Below are 22,189 nucleotides of genomic sequence, written 5' to 3'. Positions count from 1 at the left end.
AGACACATTTTATTTAAACCAATGTGGAGTGCTAAGAAAATCCCCAGTTATTTTCCTTTAGCTGGAAATAATGGAACATTGAAAAGACATTGGTATCTTTAAAACTCTACATAGGCTGTTTCCCTTGCCTGCTTTAAAGGGAGGGAAATACTCTCACACAGAGACAAAGAGCTACCCTAGTCATCTTTCTTTATTCTAATGTATTTTGAGAGAAGACCATGAATAATAACAATACTTTCCATGGATTGAGTATACTTTATATATGACACTGTATTTCTTTTTTTTTTTTTTTTGAGATGGAGTCTTGCTCTGTCGCCCAGGCTGGAGTGCAGAGGCGTGATCTCTGCTCACTGCAAGCTCCGCCTCCCGGGTTCACGCCATTCTCCTGCCTCAGCCTCCCGAGTAGCTGGGATTACAGGTGCCCGCCAACACGCCCGGCTCATTTTTTGTATTTTTAGTAGAGTCAGGGTTTCACCGTGTTAGCCAGGATGGTCTCTATCTCCTAACCTCATAATCCACCCGCCTCGGCCTCCCAAAGCACTGGGATTACAGGCGTCAGCCACCGCGCCCGGCCATGGCACTGTATTTCTAAACTTCACAGTAACCCGTCAAGATTGATTCTAGCCTGTTTTACAGATGCCCTAGAGAGGTTAGCAGCCTGCTTAATGTCACAGGACTAAAAAAAAAGGTAGATCTAAGCTTTAAGCTTTAAACACAAATCTATTTGACCCCAAACCTGTGCTTTTTCTGCTATCCATATTCTCAATCACCCACTCGAGTCTCATTAAAAAAAAAGCCAAAGTGGGGGGGAAAAGCCAAAGGCTTGATGACTTTCATAATACGTGGTCAGTATGTGAAATAAATAATGGATCTCTTTATGGGCCAAGACAACACTTGTCTCTTTCCTTCTTACAGAAGGCACATCATTCCATATTCATAAGAGTAACATTTACTGAGCATTTTCTGTGTGCCAGGCATTGTATGAACCTTCTTCGCACACTCGGTTTTATTCCTCCCACATCACTGTGAGAGGTTAGTTGGCTTGTTTTAGGTTAAAATTAGGACCCAAGTGTATCTGACTCCAAAATCCACATACACAACTGTATACATGCTACTGTTTGCCATTGTATGTCAGTTGCCAGTGGATAGATTGCCCTTCTCTTGCTATTTAGTTCGAATTTAGTCTTAGGTATGGTCCTGAATATATGTGTTAAGATAACCTGAGGGAGTCTATGTAGGGAAACTCCAGCAATGAGTTTCAGAGAGGTGTTTGAAGGAAAGAAGCAACCAGCCCCAGATGCTCTTGGAGAGCAGGCAGTGTTTATTTGAGCTGTGCTGTCCAGGACCTGGTGTGGTGTCATGGCTGTAAGAGGCCTTAATGCACCTCATTCAGGGTGGATGGGATGTGTCTCCAAGTGCAGAAGGCTTTTCCTTGGGAAGGTGGTTGGTCACACCTGGGTTAGCAGGAGCCAGCTAACTAAAGCTCCCATACCCCAGTTTATCTTCCACATGTCTGGCTGGCAGGGTGTACTTTCTAAAACACAGCCTTGCCGTGCCACTCCCTTCCCCAGACATAGTCATATTTTGAGTCCCTGCTGGGATATCCAGGACTGTGGAGAGGATAAATATTAAACATTGGCCCTGCAGCTAGGAAATCAGTCTTGTTTGAAAGCCACACACATGAATCATATTTTTAGGACTGATTAGAGGTTATTTAGGCCAGCATTTCTCAGAGAATGCTCTGAGGAAACCAAGTTCTTCTGGGTTGCACATCTCCCAGGTAAAACTTAACAATAAACTCTGATGAAGGCCCTAGGATGAAATGTCCATGTTGAATTTGCTTTGGGACATGACCAGCTAGTCTAGCCTCTTCTCTCTAATACAGGCTCAGCGAAGAAAAGGGACTTTCTTCATTCGCAGAAGAATCCAACCTTGAACTCCTGAGACCCCCAGCCCAGGACTTTTTCTGCTGCACAGAGGGCCTCTGCATTTTACTCCCCTCTTTCAGTTTTTGTCTTTAGGCAGTCCTGAGGCACATATTTTCTCCTGTATCTTGAAGCCATATGTTTCTCAGGCTTTTCTCCTCTTCTAAGATAGGCTGCTAATGTTTAGCATCTGAAATCATCCTGTTTCTTTCTTAAAGTTGTCCTGGGAAAGATACTGGAAAGCTAAGTTCCCAACTAGGCTGATGAGAAAGGGAGAGGAGAACTGCAGGTTTGAGTCCTCACAGGGTCCCTGTAGGGGAAAGATCAATTTTTCTATGAGAACCAGGAGCTCTCTGAGGGCAGAAACCCTGTTTTACTCATCTCAGTATTTCTCACTCCTGGCACACAATAAGGTTGTCAGTAAATATTGTATATTCAGTGTGGTTTAAAATTGTGTTGACTTGGTATATGCATATGTAAATTGCATGCTATGTAAATTATATATCAATTTTTTTAAGCCCTTTTATTTAAAAATGAAATTTTTAAGTTTTAGAGTAGTGATTCTCAAATCACCTTGGGATAAAATCACTTGGAAGTCTTATTAAAAATCAGAATTCTCATGCCCTTCCCCTGAAATTCGGGTCACGTAGATCTGGGCAGGGCCCGGAATCAGTCTATCTATCTATCTCTCCTTCTTTCTTTTTTTTTTTTTTTTTTATAAGTGCCTCTGATGGTGAATGGCTAAATCTGAAAATCACTGTCCAGAGGATAATCCCCAATTTTACATTTAGGAGGCAGACATGAAAATATGCCTTAGCCTTCAGGTCTGGAACCTTAAAACAAACAAACAAAAACCAGTGTGCATAGGAATATGGAAAGAACATATCCGGAACAGTCAGCCAGTAATACCTTGTGTCAGATGCAAGGGGCTATGGAGAGAAATGATTTGCAAGCCTAATTAGACCTGCTCCCCAGTTCTCAAACCTGCAGCTCTAAGCCTTCTGCTAATTGGCAGTCCCTTAATAGATTAGGACTTGGCATCAGGTTTGCATGTTATTATAAACCACACACAGAAAAACCCAGTGGCTGAGGAACTCCTGCCAAACCCCAGCCTAGGTTTTGTGAGGCTTTTGAAGTGCACTGGTCTTTTCAGTATTTTGTATAGTCAGTGCACTGAAAGGCATCAAACCATTTCTTTGGATGGGATTTGCGAAGGGCAAGTTTGTTGAATAATTAATTCGCCAAGACCCATTCTATCATCTTGATGGACAAGTAGGAGCTCACGTATGCCGTTTGCTCTCAGAAGTACCTGGGGTATGATAGGAGAGATTGTTTCTCATGGATCCTGTCCCATTCCCAGGCATCTTCTCCTTCCCCTTCATGCTTTGAGTGGGGAGGGGAGGAGGAAACGTGTGTGTGCACCTGTTCGAGGCAGGCTGCTTACCACGCCATCTCTTCTGCCATCCTCATGTCAGCCCTTCTAGACTGCAGGACCTGTCTTGAAGATGAGCAAATGAAGGTCCTGAGAATTCACTAATCAAGTATCACACTGCCAGGACTTGGCAGAGGTGGAAGGGGAGGGACTTGTATCTAGGTCTGCTAATTGCACACCACCAAACCGAACCGAACCGAACCGAACCGAACCGAACCAAACCAAACCCCAAACCCAGAAAGCCATTTTTGATTTCTCTGGTGTTCGCTTGATTAACATGGGCTGTGAAATGGTTTTCTGCAGTTCACATTGTGCGCAAGGATACCTGTGTACATCTGTGGATAATATGTATATACTGTAAGTGCTTCCCTCCCCCTCACATTATATTATAGAGTTTCCATTCTGAGGTGAGGCTACCCACGACAGAGTACAACATTGTGCAGTAGGACAGGGAGGGAGGGTGGAGAGTGGGGCTTTGCCAGAGTTCGCAAAGGCCTATGGGTTCCCAAAGCCACACTCAAGTATTCCTCAGGCCTTTGAACAATTCCGGGGGCCTTGCTCTCCCCTCTTGTCCTTCCAATTAGATTCCAGTTGGGGATTCTTCCACTTCTTTTCAAGGCCACTTCCACAAAGGGGGAGCTGTCGTGGAAGCTGATATTTCCATGAAAACCTTCCATTTCTCAGGCAAACATACCAGGCAGCTGTCATGGCAATACCATGGTGAAGGGGAATAATGTTATTTGGCATTTCGCCCTTTAAAAAAGTGTATGTGTGGGGGTGGGTGGGAGGAGGAGGATGGGCAGAGAGAACAGTGGGGGCTTTGTAATTTACTGCAATAGAGGGGTCAGGTGGGCTGGGTTACAAGGGGAGGAGGGGCATAGAGAAGGCCTGAACCCCCCTTGGGCTTCGCAACCCTCTTCCTCCCCTCTGCCTGATTCACACGTTTTGAGAGGTTGTAAAGGGGAAGCTGGGGAGTTTTTATGTTTTGATTTGGAAGAGGGACTCTAGACATTCTGTCCCTCTGAGAGAAGCTGGCTCCTTGCTGCTTTGCAAGGATTAAGGGCCTGGCTTCCAGAACCATTGAAGAAACATCCCAGGATCTACCCTTTTCTCTCAACAGCTGAAAAATGCATTACCCAGCAGTGGCTTCCTGGAGAGTTCTGGCAAAAGAGCCTCCCTCTGGAACAATAGGGTTCCTATAACAAACCACCTAGGAGTTGTTTACTGTAGCCAGTTCTCCCAGTGTATCCGAATGCCTTACATTTTGTTATTCCCATTCTGGTGGGGGAAGGGGCAGCGCTGCAGGAGCAACTGAGGATGGTCCCAGAGTACCTGGATTTCTGACTACAGGAAGCAGCTGCCCAGTTTGTGAGTGGCTCCCCTCCTTAGCTCCAGTTAAAAGTACCTAAAGATAGAATATCTGGTGGCTTCACAGTTCCATGGAAAGTCAGCCGGACCCAGCGTCCCTTTCTGGCCTACTTCTCTGTGGCCTTATCACTATTCTTCATTTCTAGTCTTTGTAAAATCAGGCTCATACTCCTTACCCGGAAAGGATTATTGGTCAGAATAAGGGAGGTGCAGCAATAAAGTGACCAGGAAAGTGTCTAGCGGTAGCTAATGTTAATTCCCACCTCCCTCCAACCCACCGCCCATTTTTGCTGATGCCTACTACTTCAGCAGAGCCAAGAGCTGCCAAACATTCGTTCAATTTTTATCTGAAGGTCTGCAGATTTTGGGGTGTTTTCTGGAGCTGTTCTTTATAAATGAGCATCTTTGAAGTCCAGAGGTCTCTACTCAGCCAGTCTGCCTTCACAAACCTAAAAGAAAGTTGAGTGCTCCTCAGTTACCCCAGCTGGGACAAAGGTAGGTAGTGAAGCCCCTCTATCACGTAAAGATGCTATGGAAATGAAACCTTGCTTACAAAATACTCTGCAGTCCTTGGATAAAGATGAAAACTCTTAAAATAAGAAAGGTCCACAAGACACCTGGGAAAACCAGCCCTTTCATTTTGCACATGAAGAAAATGAACCCCAGAGAGCAGATGAGGAAGTGTGATCCGGTGATCAAACTGGTAGTTGGTGGCAGAGCTAAGACTGATGGTAATAATAACATAAAGTTATTACTTAACTCCCAGACTTGCTTGTGCAGTCTTACTGATATCAGACATTTCTTCATTGAACCAATGACTAGTGTTGACTTACTTTCCCTGCCAGGATATTGACAGAGCTGATCCACCTTGGACCACTTGAGGCTTCCATTACCCAGTAGGCAAAAAGAACGGCCACACAGAATAGAACGCCTCCAGTGGATTTCAATTTATTTCATTTTACAATAATCCTAGTGATGACTAAAGTAGAAACCTTTTTTCCCAAGTAAGAAAATTCTTCTGGATTTAACAACATTAACATCTTTCACTGCCAGTTCGCTTCCTTTTTAGCAAGCATCTTTTCAGCATCTATTGTTTTAGGAACTAGACGGGCTCCCTCAAAGTACTTTTCTAATTTTTTTCCTTAGCATTAAAGGTTGGGAGATAATAAGAACTGAACAAAGCAGCAGTTTTGTTAACTTCTTGGGAAGAAAACCTTTTCAGTTCTGGATCTTTTTTTTTTTTTGGTATAGCCTTAAATTGGCTATACCAATTGGCATTCAAATGACATGGCATTCAAATGACAGCAAGGAGTATTTCAAATTCATTTACTGGATTAGTCAGTAAATAGGTATTGCATGCCAGCTGGCTGCCAGGTCATGTGCTGAGGGCATCCTCAGTGCTCTCACTTTAGTAATGCCCCTGTGGAAGTTCTTGTCACATTGTTGATGGGTGGTTATTCCCAGAGTATGCATTTTTAGGGGGGCAGAGACCACATCTTATTAACTTCTGTAGCTCATAATTCTCCCAGTGAGGAGTCTCCCCTTCAAAGGAGGAATTTTCTCCCTCATTTTCTTGCCACCCATTGCCATTTGGAAAACTCAGTGGGCCATGGAGAAGCCTTAGATCTCTGGGAAAAGAAGTTTGCGTTGTACTTCAGTTGGGTATTTTGTAATGCCATTTACTCCCTGGATACTTCTAAAATGAAAATGTAGCCTGTAAGGACAGCACAGAGAGAGGAAATCAACTACAAATTAAAAAGTGATTAGTGAGTGTTTAGGCAGAAGGTCAAAGGGATTAGTTTGGACTTCAAACTTTTCAGCTTTCAAGGTTTGTATTGAGTTACAAAATTACATCCCTGAATTATTTGTGCAGGTGGCAGCTGTCAGATTTGAAGAAAGTTTCTGTGTTTTACAAAAGGAACATTGACAGGACTGGGAATGGGGAGTGTGCTCCCAGGGTGAGGGTTGTCCTATCCACAGCACCCTGGAACGGCTCCAGTCTTGCTCAATGCAAGTGACAGTCCTTGTCTGAGCTGACACGGCCCTGTCCAGGTTACTCCAACCACCTTAGTGAGGAAACCAGTCAAGCCAGTTGATTGGCATCATGTAAACAGCTTGATAGTAGATTTTCAGGACTGGGAAGGAAGAGAACTAATCTTTGTTAAATACCTGCCTTCTGATATTTCATCCTCACAGCTTTTCAAAGTGGATATTGGCATCCTCTTTTTAGAGTTGAGGCTCAGAGAAATTAGGCAACTTGCTGAAGATCACATAGAGTGTCAGTGGCAAAACTGGTTTTCAAACCCAGGTCTGAGTTGCTTTCTTGAGATCTGTGCTCTTCCTCTTACTTGGAGCTGTCTTTAGGGCAGAAATTCCCAAGAGGATCCCAGCAAATGGGTTAGGGGTGTGCTGAAATGGATCCCTTAGCCCTTGGGCAGCTGGGCAGGGTGGGGCATGGCAGCTGAATCACTGAGCAGCAGTCTCCTCAGCTTGCCTAGGAGTGCCCTATAGTGTATTTTCTAATAGTATCACTATGTGGAAAAGGCTGGAAACTGAAGATAAGTGTCTTATTCTTAGCCATCCGGCCTAACCACCCATCTGAGACTTGAAGCTGGTTAGGATCCCTGTAAACAATTCCTGATGGAATTGTCTACTCTTTATTAGGGTATGGGATGTTGTGCTGTTTTGGGGGATTGCATTAAAAAACAGGATTTGGGATGTGGGAGAGATTAGGTTAAAATTTAGAAAGTGGGGAGAAAACGATCCACAAGTCCTAGAGTGTATTTGGTAGGGGGCCAGGTCTTCCAGATTTTGGTTTGTTTCCTATGCATTTATTCAGTACACATTTGTTGAACTCCCACTATGTGCCAGGAATTCTTCCTTGTATCAGGGACACAGAGATAAATAACATGAACCCTTTTCTGAGGATCTTAGCTAGTGCAGGAGATTTATGGGAAAGGAATAATTATGATGTTAGACAGAGGGGGCCCTCAACCTTCCCATCTATTAAATGAAAACAAATGACATTAAGATCTCTTACAGTTCTAAACTTTCATCAGGATATTACTGTTATGCACCTAACTCCATTCTGAGTAAGATTTATGATGCCAACAAATATCTGATGGACTTTAATTTTTAACTCCCTTCTCACCTTGCTTTTATTTTTTATTCTTTAGAATTAGTGGGCTTCTATCAGAAGATTGTTTTTGTTTTGATTTTAGATAGCTATTGCTTTTAAAAATAAAACTCTCTGATATTCCCATTTAGTATCACATAGAGAGCTATAAGTTGGGTCCACTGTATCTTCTGAAGCATAACCATGCAATTTATTAAGATAAGCTGTTTACCTGGCCAGTAAGGTAGATGTTCATTTTGACCTAACCACCAGCCTCATGGAGTCAATTTGGTAAGGGCTTTCTATTTCAGCAAGGCTTTGTTTCACATCCCTGTTCATTTTACTGTGTGACCTTTGGCAAGTTACTTAGCTTCTAAGCCTCAGTTTCCCCATAACTAAAATGCAGAAATGAACTACCTTGCCCTGGTGACTTGACATGATCTTTGGGTTTATAATTGAAAACATAGATAGGAGGCTCAGTCTTGGGTTAAGATTAAGACATACGCATAAATCCATACACACACATAACCATATACACATATATATACATGTCTAATGTGGCCATTACTTACTATGGGAGACATTACGGCATCAAGAGTTATTTCTATTTTCATAGGTTTACCCAAGAGTCATTAACCAAGGACTCTTACTCTCTACAGCAAGGATAAAGTCAAATGTTTACAAAGCCAGGCAATTAACATAAATGACTACAGTGGACCAGGTATAAGAAAATTGACAGTGCAAGCTCAATGAGAATGGCAACCCACAGACAGCCTTCATGTCAGGGAGATAGTGGGGAGTAGGTGGCTCCTGGAGAATGTGTATATGCTCCCTGCGGGAAGGCAGCCGCTGTTATTACTGCCTGCATTGCCACACACTTTAGAGCTGGTTTAAGAAGCTGGGAATCTGGATGTTATCTGCCTGTTATTAAATGTTAACAATTTAAAACATTTTAAACCCTGGGTAGGCCAAACGGAACATCTCTACAGGCCAGATTTGGCCATGGGCTGCCAGCTTGTGACCTTTGAGCTAGATCGCGGGCCATGTAGCTCAGTGGCATACCTGGAGTGCCCTTGGATTGCTCACCAGGGTGATTTTGTTCTTGCAGGGCCTCCCATAATGCTCACCTCTTCGCTTTTGGCACTGCATCTGGCTCCAGTCTTGCCTTTTGACTATCTCGATCTTTGGCTGTCCCTGGTGTCTGGTGTCCTGCCAGTCCACGTGTTGTTTATTCTGCCACATAGACGGGGTGTTTTGTGTACACCTGGGTAGCATGGCTTGGATGGGAGTGCACATGCTGACGAATGAATTTTTAACTGCTGGAAAAATAAAAATAAATGTATTTTTCTCAACCTTATTATAGACTTGCCTCCGATACAGCATCATGTGATCTTTTGAGAATATATGGCAGGGTTCCCACTGTGATGTTTCTTCCCTATGTCAGGGTTCCGGGTCTTGCTAACCACTGTCAAAGCCCCATTTGTCTACCCAATCCCAAGAAGTTCCTGGAATTATAGGACTTCATGAGCATGCTTTTCCCTGCAGATTAGATTGCGTATGGGAAGTGGCTGGTGGGCCCATGGCTACTTGCATGAGCTTTGGACAGAAATCTGGTCACATCTTACCCCCACATAAAAGCTTTTGGTGGCTCCCTGTCACATATAAGAGCAAGAAATAACTTATTTTATCAACTACATCTTAGTCCTCCTAATCAACTCTGTACATTGGGAATTAATGTGCCAACTCTTATTGTACAGTGATAAAAATAAAGTTCAGAGAGTTAAGGTCATACAGCAAGAATGACAGTTGATAGGAGTGGAATATGAAATCTTGTCTGCCTGACTCCAAAGATCATGATTAAATTGGAAAAAATAAAGAAGCAATTAATCCTGTTAGAGTGGGTTACATGGCTAAGTAAATCCTTTGTTGGAGAGATTTAAGTCTTGAAGGATATTTAAGTCTTGAAAGATAAATAGGAGTTGTTTTAATTCAGATGTTAAAGACATTACTTCATGGAGTTGTTAGGAAGATCAAATGTGATGATTTATGTAAGAGCTCAGAAATACTTTGCATGGATGGGACTATTGCTGTGTCTTAACTCTGGGTAGCCATGTTGCAAATGAATGCCTTTGGGTCATAAGGGAGACTTATGAGGCAGAGAGAGAGTGGCTGGATCTGTATGGTTCCATCTTAACATCTAAAGAGGAGCCTTGGTTTCTGCCCTTGTCCACTTTCAAGAGTTTCGTAGCTGACTTTCTAGGTTGCTAATATGTGAATAGACATAGTTCATGTATCCTTAGCAATAAAGGCTAACTGGTCCCATCTCTGAATGAATTCTAGAGTCAGACAGTTCTATTACATATCTTGTTTATGCCTCTTATCCTCAGAGTGGATACTGAAACAAATTACAACCTCTCTGACCCTTGGTCTTTTGTCTATATCCTAATAATTAATTTAGAAAATTGTTTTGAGAATTAAATCAATTGATGTATCCAAAACTCCTAGCACATAGTGGGTGCCCAATAAATGTATACTTACTCTCCCTTATTTAAAGAGGATTCAAAAGGAAGGAGGTCTTGGGAAGTGACTCAGCTTTACCTGGGATGGAAGGATTATGAGTCCTGTTGGCTCTGGTAGTTGTGTTTCACTAGAAATAAAACACCTCATTTGTGAAATATATAATGATGACAAAAGAGGTTTGGAGTTCTTTCAATTAAAGATATGAACCATGAGTTGCTGGTCAGTTTGTTTTATTTGCAGATGAATGTGGCAACCCTTTAAAAATCCAACAGAAAGGGCTGAAACAGCTGGAGCTGGGGATTTTAAGGAGGCTGATGTTAATTATTTTAAAAATAAAATGTTTTCACTGTAAGCACTTTCAAATAAGAAAGGACATCCAAAGTTCTTTTTAACGCCCATGGTGAAAGTAAAACAGGTTTCTCTTTGTCATGGAAACTGAGACTTTCAGAAGGCAGGGAACTCAAAATCACTGCAGTATTTTACTCACCTTTGTTTTCCCCAGCACCTAACACAGTACTCAGTACTTAGGAAAGAGCCATACTTGTTTGTTGAGTTGGACTAAAGACCTTGATTTGGGGTCAGGAAACCCAAGTACTAGGACTAGATCTGCCACTGGTTTCTCCATTTCTACCACGTAGTTGCTTTTGGTTCCAACAGTCTTCTTTTTGTGGAGAAAGGGCCTGAACTTTCCAGTACTGAAGAATGAGCAATTGCTAAGGAAGACCTCTAGACCCAGAATATTGCGTGTTCACACCAGCCAACAGCAAGTGTTTTTCATGGCAGCCTGTTTCAAAGGTAGAAAAATGCCTTCATAGTAAACTTAGTTTTGTCTCATCTGGATTGTGTCCAGTCTAAAAATCTGGACAAATATCGTAAACCAAAGAAAGTTTGCACACTTCTAAGACCAGTAGCAATTAATTACTTTAAATAGAAGCCCTGTCACTTACAAGCAACATAAATATTTGTATTTTGAACCTCTAAGTAATAGTTGTGTTGACCATTCTGGCCTTAAGTGATTTAAAAAAATCAGTGAGTGATATTTTAACAGGGAATATGTTTATAAAGAAAGGGAGGGTCAGGTCATAGAGTAAGAAAATATAAGCCAAAAGACAGACAGATGTGGGTTCAAAACCCAGTGACCAATTTACTCACTTGAGGACCTTGTACCAGTTATAAAACTTCTGGCCTCAGTTTTCTGTTGGGTATACATGAAAATAATAACCCACAACGTTTCATAGCTATCGTGGAGATTAAATTAATCAATTCCTAAAGTCTAAACTCCTTCAAGGTCCAGGGTCTTCAGTCTATATTTTGAATAGGTGGTCCAAATTGGGACCATTGCTAGCTCTGCATTTTAGGTGAACTGATGAACATTTCTGATCCTCAGTTTTTCCATTTGTAAGATGGGTAGAACAGTACCTACTCATAACTCTGTACTGTAGGTAAGATGTATAAACTTTTTATCACAGAGTTCTTTTTTTTTTTTTTTGAAACAAGATCTGGCTCTATCACCCAGACTGGAGTGCAGTGGTGCAATCTTGGCTTACTGCAACCTCCGCCTTCTGGGCTCAAGTTATCCTCTTACCTCCTGAGTAGCTGGGACTACAGGCATGCACCACCACACTCGGCTAATTTTTGTTTTTTTGGTAGAGACGGAGTTTCATCATGTTGCCAAGGCTGGTCTCGGACTTATGAGCTCAAGCAATGCAACTGCCTCAGCCTCCCAAAGGGCTAGGATTACAGAAATGAGCCACCGCAAATGGCCTTGTCACAGAGTTCTAATAGCTGCCCAATTTGAGTAATTATGCTATACCAGATGCCTATTTTTGTGCAACCAGTATTATTTTGTGGATAGATGTGTAGGCTTTCTGCAGATGTTAGTTTAATTATTATTCTCGCAGATCCTGGACTTCACGTATTTTATAATGACTATGGATTGTTTTGAGTGGAAAATTGAACAACTCTGGAAAAGGACATGAAGGACCTGGTATGTAGAAGACATAAAAGTCCCCTCCTGGTGCTCTGATTTTGGTCAAAAAATGCAAAGATTCCTTCTTCACCCTTCCCATCATTCTCTTCTTAGCCTCACCAAGGGCTTTCTAAAAAGCACTTTGTGAGAAGGAGGCTGTGTTTAATTTTGTGCAAAGGTGAACTGTGGCTGCAGGGAGCAGGGCTTTGGGGCCAGGTCACTTGGGTAACACTTCCCACATGAGTTTATCAATGGGTGGGCCACAAAAACTTAGTCTGTGTTTTTTTACACTCCACCCCCAAACCACCCAACCTGCCCCAGTGTTAGTTTTTCAAAGCCAGAGAAGTTTCAAAGGCCTGAACCCAACACAGGGGCCTTTCTTCATGCTTTGATTTTATGCCCATTAAGTGTTTGTCAGTGAGTTCATATTTCACCTCCTCTGCAACCTACACATCCCAAGAAATCCCCAGAGGTATATGAAGTTAATTGATCCTTGATTAAAGGAAGGAGAAATGCTTGGGTCTGGGTCTCGGTCTGCACTCACTAGATTCTTTTTTTTTTTTTTTTTTGGTCATGCTTTGCAAAAATTTTGTAATGCACCTTTTATTACGAATACATTTAAACTCCAGGCTATTGCGTTCAGAGTTTGATGAAATTAGTTACCTAGCACATGTGTGATACACAGTGAAAGTTCAGTTAACTTGAGCCAGTGCCATTCCCTTGATTGTTCTGAACAGTGCCTTTTTCATCAGAGGCCATGAGATTTGCTGAGCTTCAGTTAATTTACTAATACTTATAGATGCTTCCTTCTCTGAAGAGTGACTCACTTACTTTATAGAAAGCACCCAAAATCAGAGTCAGATCATTTGAAACCTGTTCAGCTCCATAACTTACTTGCAGAGTGACTGGTAAGTCACTTTAATCTCTTTGAACCTTAGGGTGGCTTAATGTATTAGTTTTTATGACTGTTTATCCTATTAGCCTTTGGGCCACTTGAAGGTTGGAACGTAGCCTCTTTCATTTCAGTGGCCCAGTCAATGCCTAGACTGTGGTAGGCAGCCAGGTTTGTCAGTCTACAATAGTTTATATGGGGACCCTCAAGACAGTTTGGGCACATACTAACTTACTAACTGTTTAGTAAATGTTACCTATTATTTATGCTTTGTGCTATTTTCGCCTTTCTTTCCTTCATTCCCTTCATCTCCTCTAGCTCTATAGCAAACTTTAAAATTGTATTTGTTTAATAGCCATCAGTTTTGTGACTGACAATATTGAAATCCCTAAACTGCACTGATTTTTTTATGGTTGTACTTAGCCCGTGGACTCTAGAAACCCCTCCTACTTATATAAGGGTTAACTGAAGTCTCCCACCCTCTGTTGGACACCTTGAAAGACTCTAGTAGAATAGTCTTTGTGTCCTTGGTGTACTCTATGCATATGTCAGTCATCACACTAGAAATAATTCAGGGTTCTTGCTTTTTTGACTATCTTACAACACTGTGAACTCCTCCGGGGCAGGTACTATGATGTATTGACTTCCAGAATTCCAGTGTCTAGCACTGGGAAATTTCTCCAAATGAAGTGATAAGGGACTATAGTAATTGGTAATAAAGATGGTGATGGTATTGGAACTAAAGGTTGTTGGAGAAGAACAGCCTCTTCTCTGTGTCCTGGAAGGGCAAGGCACAGTGTTATATCTCTGCCTAGTTGCCTAGTTGGACTAGCTGCCTAGTTGGGGGGATGTTTATGCTTTTCCCATCAACTGAAGGAAATCTGTGGTTACTCTTCCTGGATCAAAATCAAGATTTGACTGGCATCACCCTCAATAATACCACAAGTTTATAGGGGAGACAAAAAAAAGCCATCGGGTTTTGTAAATGCCATCTGCATGCCTTTCAAGAAAATAAACAGAACATATTCAGCTCCAATTTCTTGTCTGTTTGTGGTCTTCATCCACATAATCAGAACCGGAAACCCTCCCCAAGCCATAGGCAAAGAAAGAGGAAAAAGGATTTGGACTGTTCTCAGTTTAAAAGTGGGCAAAGGACTGACCAGATTTTTTTCCCTTGCCTTCTCTGTGAGGCTTTTTTCCCTTCTCTTTTTAACATTCATTGAGTGTCCACAGTGTGTCCCGGACTCTATGCTGGCATTACTCAGTGCTATTGCCTTGACTTTCTTCTCAACTGATTTTGATGATATGTGTCTTCCCCTGCTGGATTGTAAGCTTCTTGAGGGCAGGGTCTGGGTCATCTTTGTGTTCCTTGTAACTTAATATATATAGTTAAGCCTCAATAAATATTTGTTGAATGAATGCTTTAATTTTTATATAATCCCAACCACCCTAAAGTTAGATTTCATTCTTCCCATTAAACAGATGAGAAAGGGAGTTTTGGAGATGTGAAATAACTTACTCAAGTAGTAGGGAGCAGAGTCAAGATCATTAACCCAGTTCTGTCTAACTCCAAAACTCTTTTATATGTGTTTTATTGTCCATAGAAACATATGTTTTACAGGCCTATCATGTGAGCACTATTAAAAATAGAAGCTGGAGGTCTGAGAGTGGAGTGCAAATGTAAGGAACTTGGGGTCTGTTCCCTTCCTGAGTTTATTAGCAACACTTTGGCTCCTAGGCACCAGAGCAACTGCAGCTCAACTTTTAAATCTCAATATGTGGAACTTTAAAAGCAGACTATTAATAATATCATACTGCTGGCTTCTCAGCTACTTTTCATAGCCAACTTGGTTGCATTTCAAAATGTTTAGGCAGTGGCATGAAGATGGTTCGGGACCATATGATTTCTCTCCCAGGCTCCTAACCCCTAAAGATCATTTCTAAGCCAGAACGTTTATCCACTGCCTTTCCCTGCCCCCCTCTCCTCCATTGCAGAGACAAAGTTTTAAAACCTAATGGCTATTGCCTGTCATGGCCCCTCTGTGTTTACTTTGAGAAGGTCAGGCACAATACTGTGGTGTGTTGCTGTTCTTTCTTTTCAAAGCACCAGTATGAATTTGATAAAGTAAATTGTTGTTCTAGCAGGAAGCAGTTAGGGGTCACAAAATAAATAGCCATAGAATTCAAATAAATCCAAAGAATAAAACCAAATAAATCCATGTGTGTATGCACAGTGATACATAAATACACTTTTTAGAAAGTGAGCATTTTTATCACTGCTGGTCTGGACCAAAGTAATTGAAAAATTGTGGAGTTCATGGTACTTTTTTTTAGAGGTGGTCTGGGACTTCAAGCAACATGATGTGAATTTAATTCTTTTTGAAAAACATGAAAAATGGGATTTTATCTTTTAAACAACTGTTTATCTTGGGATTTTTCAGCTAATGAAATTCACATTTGAATGAAATCAATTTGCAAAGTTAAATTAGGGATTTAAGCATTTGGAGGTGGACTAAGAGACCCTGAATGAGCTCAGTATTCTCTCTGAGTCTCTGTTCCCTCCACTTGAAGATGGGTGGTAGTGCTTAAATAATACTTCAATGCAAAAATGGATATAAAGAACCCAACACATTGTGAGTGTGCATTCAATAGTGGCTGTATTATCCACTGTGTTTTTTTTTTTTGCAGCCCAGAAGTCTTGTATTTATTTTATTTTATTTTTTTAACATCTACTATGCCATGAGTTCATACGTTCCAGCAGCAGGCTCCTTCCCCTTGGTTCTCACAAAGTTGCACTTCTCTTGGTAGAGCAGGCTGGCACTTCAGTTGAACTCTTTGGCTTTCTTTTTCTGATCATTTTCCTTCATGTTTTTTAGGAAGTTATCTCAGCTCTTGGAGTGCTTAATGTGCTCAATATGCACATTAATTCTCTTGGCAAGAATCTTCCCCTTAACTTTTTTGTTTACAACAGTACCAACGGCATGCTGGGGAACACTGCAGACTCTTCCAGTTTAGCCATGGTAACACTTGTGGGGCATTCTTTTTAGAGCAGTACCCATTCCCTTAGATGTCTACAGCATCACCTTTCTCATAGATTCTCATATACGTGGCCAAATAAACAACTCCATGTTTTCTAACAGGCCTAGAGAACATCTATCGGGTGCCTCTCCTCTTTCCCTTTGTGTTTGTCATTTTGGTGAATTACTGGAAGATGGCAGTTCCAGCTGAAAGGCCACTGTGTTTTTGGTGGTCTTCCCTAGTTCCAAGATTTGTAAAAGAACTGGTCCTTTTACTTTGCGAAGTGTCATTGGAGCTTGGTATTGCAGTTGGGTAGTTGGGGAGGAAGAGGTATTTTGGTCTAAGAGAATAGCATGAATCCACAGTCTCTGTGTACTGGTTTCTTGGAGGCTTACTGAAGAGGAGCAGCAGAGCATGAAGCTGGAGAGATGTCCAGGTCATGGGAACTCCTAAAGTCATACTTAGGGACTTTATTTCACCCTGTGTCATGGGGAGCCATTGAAGAGGCTTTAGCAAGGCTTTGACATGCTCATGGTCCAAGCCCTTCAGGAAGCAAACTGGTGGCTATCTGTAGAAGGGAATGGGGGCCATGAGCCTGATTAGGAGGCTCTTGTAGCATCCAGACAAGAGTTATCATGGGCCTTTGCTTTTTAAGTCAAGGTTGTGAGGGACTTTTCTTGGCAGGTGATGGAATCCATTTGCCATGACCTTTGAGAGAATAGTATCTGAGCTGGCCACTGATAACCAGCAGCAACTGCAAGAGTCACTTGGTTCTCCTGGGTGCCCTGGGCCCTCTATCCAGGTCTGCAGGCAGCAGGGCCAAGCTCAGCTCTGCTCACTCTTATTGGTAGTTCTTTGAACAGTGAAAGAAAAGCCTGGAAAATGGCATTCATGAAGCAGCTACTATGTGCCAGGCACTGTGCTAGAGGTTGTGTGTGCGTTGATCTCCTTTAGTCATCACCACAACTCATTTTACTGTGGGAAAAAACTGGGACTCAGGGAAATGGAGTGGGAACCAGAGGAAGTGCTGGATCTGGGGTTCACATCCAGATTTTTTTACTCCAAGGCCTTCACTACCCCAGGCAGCACAGCCTTAGTGAACTTCTCAAAGGGGAAATGGTTAAGAGCTAAGAAATGAATGCCCTTGGAAGCATAAATCATGAGATTTGGGGCTATATTAGTAAATGTTGCGATTCGGGCTTTAATTTTTAGCAGGGTATTGTAGAACAGTGGGAAAACCCCTGCTCTGGCTCTTTCACTGCCTACCTCCGAGCTCTTGGGGAAGAGAAGAGGATAATGCCTCTCTCCTCATGGGGGTGTGGAAAGGAGGAATGGGGTTGTGCATAGCGAAAGCTCTCTCTAGGCAGTAGATCTCTACAAATGGAAGGAACGATTATCACTCTCAGTGATATTTGGGATGGTCTTTTCTTGAAGTTCCTCTTTGGCACTGATGTTTTCCCCTTCCTTTTTTTCTTTTTTTTTCTGGTATATGCCATGGTTCCACCTGGACCAGCGGGCCTCCCCTTCCTCATCATCGAGACAAGCACCATCAAGCCTTACCACCGAGGGTTTTACTGCAATGATGAGAGCATCAAGTACCCACTGAAAACTGGTGAGACAATAAATGACGCTGTGCTCTGTGCCGTGGGGATCGTCATTGCCATCCTCGCGGTAAGTGTCCAGACTCTGCTATGGTGGATCCTGTCTGACTTCTTCCTGTATTGTCATATTATAGAATGTCTGAGCCAACAGAGACTTATACCAAGTAGAAGCCAACTTTCTCTGGCCTATATTTAGCCAAGAAGGAAGGTAGTTAATCCTGAGAACACTAAATGTGAAGTAAGTGCTATCACCCCCATTATACAGATGGGAGAGTTAAATGACGTACTCAAAGACTACAGCTACAAAAAATTCAGGTTCAGCCTGTGCCTGGCTGATTTCAAACCCCCTTTCCATCTCGCAGACTTACAGTTCAGGAAGGCTAACCTGTCCAAATGAACTGCTCAAGGGGATAGGCAGTTAGCTTATCTTGCCTACTCTGGATCAAATGTAAGCTGCTGATGTTACATGTACCACATTTCATGTAGTTTTCTTTTGACTTGCCCACTCTGGAGGTTGGTTGTAAACTTTGAGACCCCTCTTTGTTTTTTAATAACATCGTAAACCAGGCACACAATCAACAGCTTGAATTTGGGGAGGGGGAAGGGAGGCTAGTAGAATTCTTTCCAACCTTTAAAAGAAAAACAGTCCATTTGGCAGTAGTTTCTTAAAGGTGGACTAAGGATCTTTGTGTTTGAAAACTGAAAAATGAAAGGTCTAGTTTTCCTGTGTGCTCCAAATTGACAGTTGTGGGTTTGAGTTTCTAGGAAGAATGGCTTTCCCTGAAAAAGGTGTTTGTTGTGGAAAGCAAATAATTGCACAGTATCATGTATTGAGGTTTGAACAGGTGTTTTTGAAAGTTGGAGGATCAGTTAATTGAACGCTTCAAAGGAGCCCGCTATACCCAAGAGTGTGGTGAGATAAGAAAAGCACAGGGACAGGAATGTCACATGCTCGTCACTCTCTGTGGCATTATTCCCAGCTTGCCTAGTGGGCTGCTCCCAGACACAGGGCAGTGGAAAGAGACACTCTTCAGAGCCTCTCGTAGCTATGTGAATTAGGTGGATCATTGATTTCTTTAACCTTCAGTTTCCTCATCTGTAAAATGAGATTGCTGTTTGGATTCCCTCAAGAGGATTGCTGTAAGAATCAAATGAATGCCATAATGCCTGGAATTGCACTCTGCAGCAGTGGGCTCACTGGAACGTTGAGAGTCTTTTAGTTGGGAATGGTTCTGGTTTTCTGACCTGGCCCCAGGATGGGCAAAGGAAAATGCTAAAGTAGCTTCTTTAGAGTTCATGTGTCTCCTCCCATCCTTCCTTCCCCAAGCAGAGCTTCAGATCAGCAGCTCTTCGCTTGCTGCTTGCCAAGGCCAATCCCTTTCTCCTTAAGGGATGTCAGCATTTCTTAGAAAAAAATGTGCTATTGAGAGCTTCATTGTGGCTTGCCCCTTTCCTTGTGTTATGTTGATATTTTAATTACAATGCTTCCTGACCTCCCAGGTTTTCTTGAAGCAGTCATGTGCTGTGGCCTCATTATACAATGAGCAACAGCATTGCTTCCCCAACCCATACAATGGCAGCAAAATGGATTAGATAGTGCTTTCCTATAGTTCCGGAGAAACACAAGCCAAGAAATTACTGCAATAATTGTTATCTCTTGTCCAGTGCTACTGTGTATGGGGATACACGTGAAAAATGTGGATGCATTTCACCCTTGAAACCCCAAGAGCTAGATATTCTTAGGGTTTTCAGTTTAGCACAGGGTTAAAAGCACATGCCCTGGTTCAGACCTGAGCACCTCTGCTGTGGACCATGTGGCAAATTAACCTTATGGTGCCTCCGGAAATACATCTGTTACATAGAGATACTATGTCTACTTACTAAGGTTTTGAGAATTAAATGAGCTAATGTATATAAAGTAACTCAGTGCTTGGCACATATGGTATGCCCAGTAAATGTTAACTATTTTTATTCTAAATGAGTAAACAGAGTCAAAAAATGGTGAAGTGACAGCCAGATGTTATATCTGGTAAAAATACAGTAAGGAAAGGAACCCCAGCCTTAGCTACACCCCCCACTCTTATCTTATAGTTATTTAATTAGAACCCAGGTCTCTTGATTCTCACTCCTCTTTGCAATAGGAATTTCTTACCTCTTGGTCCAACTGCTGTTGCATTTCAGCTGGAGACACGTGAATTGGGGGCTCCTAATGAAGCCTCCTAGCCTGCTTACCTGTCATAACTATCAAGGGTACTCACAGAAAAAGGTAAAAGCAAAGACCTCAGAGGTGGAGGGGATAATTCACTTTTGCATTCTCAGTTCTGGAAAAGCTATAGAGTTTAAATTTAACAACAACAACAACGATGACGTCGACACATTTCCCACTTTCCCAGCTGGCCCCATCCAGAACCCGGTTCTGATTAGAGGGCAAGAGTGACAGACGTGGAGGGTGGAGGGGCCCAGAGCTGGAAATTGAACCATCATCCTGCTGCTTGCAGTCCTGAGCCTTCTCCTGCTGAATGTCAGGTTTGTTTAAAACAGCAAGAGAGGCCTTGACTGAGTTGGATGCCCCTGCTCCCATTCAGATGGTCCCCACAACAAAGGAACGGAATGGCAGTGGAGGAGACCAGTGTGGTTTAGAGATGCAAATCATCACGCGTTATGGAGAAAGCAGACACCTTTCAATGGCAGGAGATATGGAAAAACCTAGTCATGTTGACCTCTTTTTCAGATGTATCTCAGATTCTGGAATTATAGCATAATAGGAATTCCTTCCAAATCCACAAAGCAATGGTTCCTATCCCTGCCTTGCAAAGGCTTAATGACTCTAGCAGCAGTAAGACTAGGAGCAAACAGTAAAATATCATCTCCTATCTCTCAGTTTTGTCTTGCACTGTATTACAAAGAGTATCATGGGCAAAGATTTAAAATGGGCAGAAATGCTAAGTATTCATTTTAAATATACATGGGCTCAGTGCTTGCCTCGCTCAGAACCTAAAAGGGGTTTATACAGATTCTTAATATCTAGGAATTGATGCATGGTTGAGTCACGGATGAATCTCCTTCTCTCCCTAGCCATAAAAATGCTACCTAACTTGACTCTGACTTCTGTAATAATATTCCTAACTAGAGAAAAAGTCAAACTTAGGCATCATCTGACTTAGGTACATGTCCCAACTTGAGTGCTTACTCATTCTGTGACTTGTCCTTCAACCTCAGAAGAGCCATTGGGCCCCTTGGAGCTATACTTTGCTTTTCTATAAATTGGTCACAACGGTTCACCAATGCCATAGGCTTGTTTTGGTTGTCAAATCATGTGATATTGTGTGTGTGATAAGTGAGAATCATCCTTCATATGTCTGTAGTGTTGTACAGTTTACAGCGTGGCTTTTATGTGCACGCTCTTCTTTGCACCTGGTAGTAATCCTGGGAGGTTGATTCTTACAGCTAACTCAACCGGGGCTCAAGGATATTAAGTGACTCTCTCATAACTAAGTAGTGGCATGGCCAGACCAGGAGTCCTCTGATTCCTACTGCTGTCTTCTGCAGCCTACCCTCCTTCCACAATTACTTATCAAGGGCCTATGATGTGTCAGGTGTTCACCACACAGTAGTGAACCTCAGCACAACCAGCTGCATGTTGTCTCTTGTCATGAAACTTAGCAGCTACCCCATCTCGAGCAGGCAAATAACACCTTAATACAAACTGTCATAGGCCAAGGCAGGTGGATCACTTGAGGTCAGGAGTCCGAGACCAGCCTGGTCAACATGGTGAAAACCTGTCTCTACTAAAAGTATAAAAATAAGCTGGGCTTGGTGGCATGTGCCTGTAATTCCAGCTACTTGGGAGACTGAGGCAGGAGAATCGCTTGAATCCAGGGGGTGGATATTGCAGTGAGCCAAGATCATGCCACTGCACTCCAGCCTGGGCGACAGGATGAGACCACGTATCAAAAAGAAAAAAAAAAAAAGCTACATAATAGGTTGCTGGAAGACGGGGCCAGGTCTTTTCCTCTGGGCACATGGTAGGTACTTAAACACCAGGCGGACATTTCTCCAGGAAGCATTCCGTAGCTGTCTCCTCCCCCACCTTCCAAAGGTCACAGAGAACCCTGGGCCCACCTCTGTGGCTGCAGTCACTGTGCTGATTGTCATGTCTGTTTACTTGTATATTTCTTGGCTACCCTGTTAGCTGCACAGGGGAGAGACAGATCTGATTTGATTTGGTATTGCTAGTGTGAGACATAGACCTTGGTGCTCAATATATGTTTGTGAAAAATCACAGAAGAGGCCATAAACTGGGGGCAGAAAATCAAAAGCATTAGGTCAAAAGATATCAGAGGATTCAC

General features: G+C 42.4%; 1 protein-coding gene and 1 pseudogene across 1 annotated transcript in view, besides 5 other annotated features; one reads left to right on the top strand and one right to left on the bottom strand.

Annotated features, from left to right (window-relative positions):
* Positions 1-22,189, top strand: part of PLPP3 (phospholipid phosphatase 3) — an 84,803-nt gene that overhangs the window by 24,699 nt on the left and 37,915 nt on the right. The window contains exon 2 of the mRNA NM_003713.5: positions 17,753-17,910. Coding sequence (NP_003704.3) covers positions 17,753-17,910 — 158 coding nt within the window. The remainder of the gene's footprint in view (positions 1-17,752; positions 17,911-22,189) is intronic.
* Positions 4,042-4,615: an enhancer, noted in NCBI's record as "OCT4-NANOG-H3K27ac hESC enhancer chr1:57015922-57016496 (GRCh37/hg19 assembly coordinates)". NCBI's record gives its function as "activates a minimal SCP1, AML or CMV promoter by ChIP-STARR-seq in naive H9 embryonic stem cells {active_cell/tissue: H9 hESC(naive)}" and the evidence as "EXISTENCE:reporter gene assay evidence [ECO:0000049][PMID:30033119]".
* Positions 5,191-5,766: an enhancer, noted in NCBI's record as "H3K27ac-H3K4me1 hESC enhancer chr1:57014771-57015346 (GRCh37/hg19 assembly coordinates)". NCBI's record gives its function as "activates a minimal SCP1, AML or CMV promoter by ChIP-STARR-seq in primed H9 embryonic stem cells {active_cell/tissue: H9 hESC(primed)}" and the evidence as "EXISTENCE:reporter gene assay evidence [ECO:0000049][PMID:30033119]".
* Positions 15,908-16,453, bottom strand: RPL21P23 (ribosomal protein L21 pseudogene 23; annotated as a pseudogene).
* Positions 17,167-17,668: an enhancer, noted in NCBI's record as "H3K27ac hESC enhancer chr1:57002869-57003370 (GRCh37/hg19 assembly coordinates)". NCBI's record gives its function as "activates a minimal SCP1, AML or CMV promoter by ChIP-STARR-seq in primed H9 embryonic stem cells {active_cell/tissue: H9 hESC(primed)}" and the evidence as "EXISTENCE:reporter gene assay evidence [ECO:0000049][PMID:30033119]".
* Positions 18,867-19,510: an enhancer, noted in NCBI's record as "OCT4-NANOG-H3K27ac-H3K4me1 hESC enhancer chr1:57001027-57001670 (GRCh37/hg19 assembly coordinates)". NCBI's record gives its function as "activates a minimal SCP1, AML or CMV promoter by ChIP-STARR-seq in primed H9 embryonic stem cells {active_cell/tissue: H9 hESC(primed)}" and the evidence as "EXISTENCE:reporter gene assay evidence [ECO:0000049][PMID:30033119]".
* Positions 21,814-22,108: an enhancer, noted in NCBI's record as "tiled region #2243; HepG2 Activating DNase matched - State 5:Enh". NCBI's record gives its function as "activates a minimal TATA promoter and a strong SV40 promoter by Sharpr-MPRA in HepG2 cells {active_cell/tissue: HepG2}" and the evidence as "EXISTENCE:reporter gene assay evidence [ECO:0000049][PMID:27701403]".

This window comes from Homo sapiens, chromosome 1, assembly GCF_000001405.40.
Source record: "Homo sapiens chromosome 1, GRCh38.p14 Primary Assembly".
Lineage (NCBI taxonomy): Eukaryota > Metazoa > Chordata > Mammalia > Primates > Hominidae > Homo > Homo sapiens.
The sequence above is the reverse complement of the archived record's forward strand: the minus strand, read 5'-3'. Positions and strand labels throughout refer to the sequence as shown.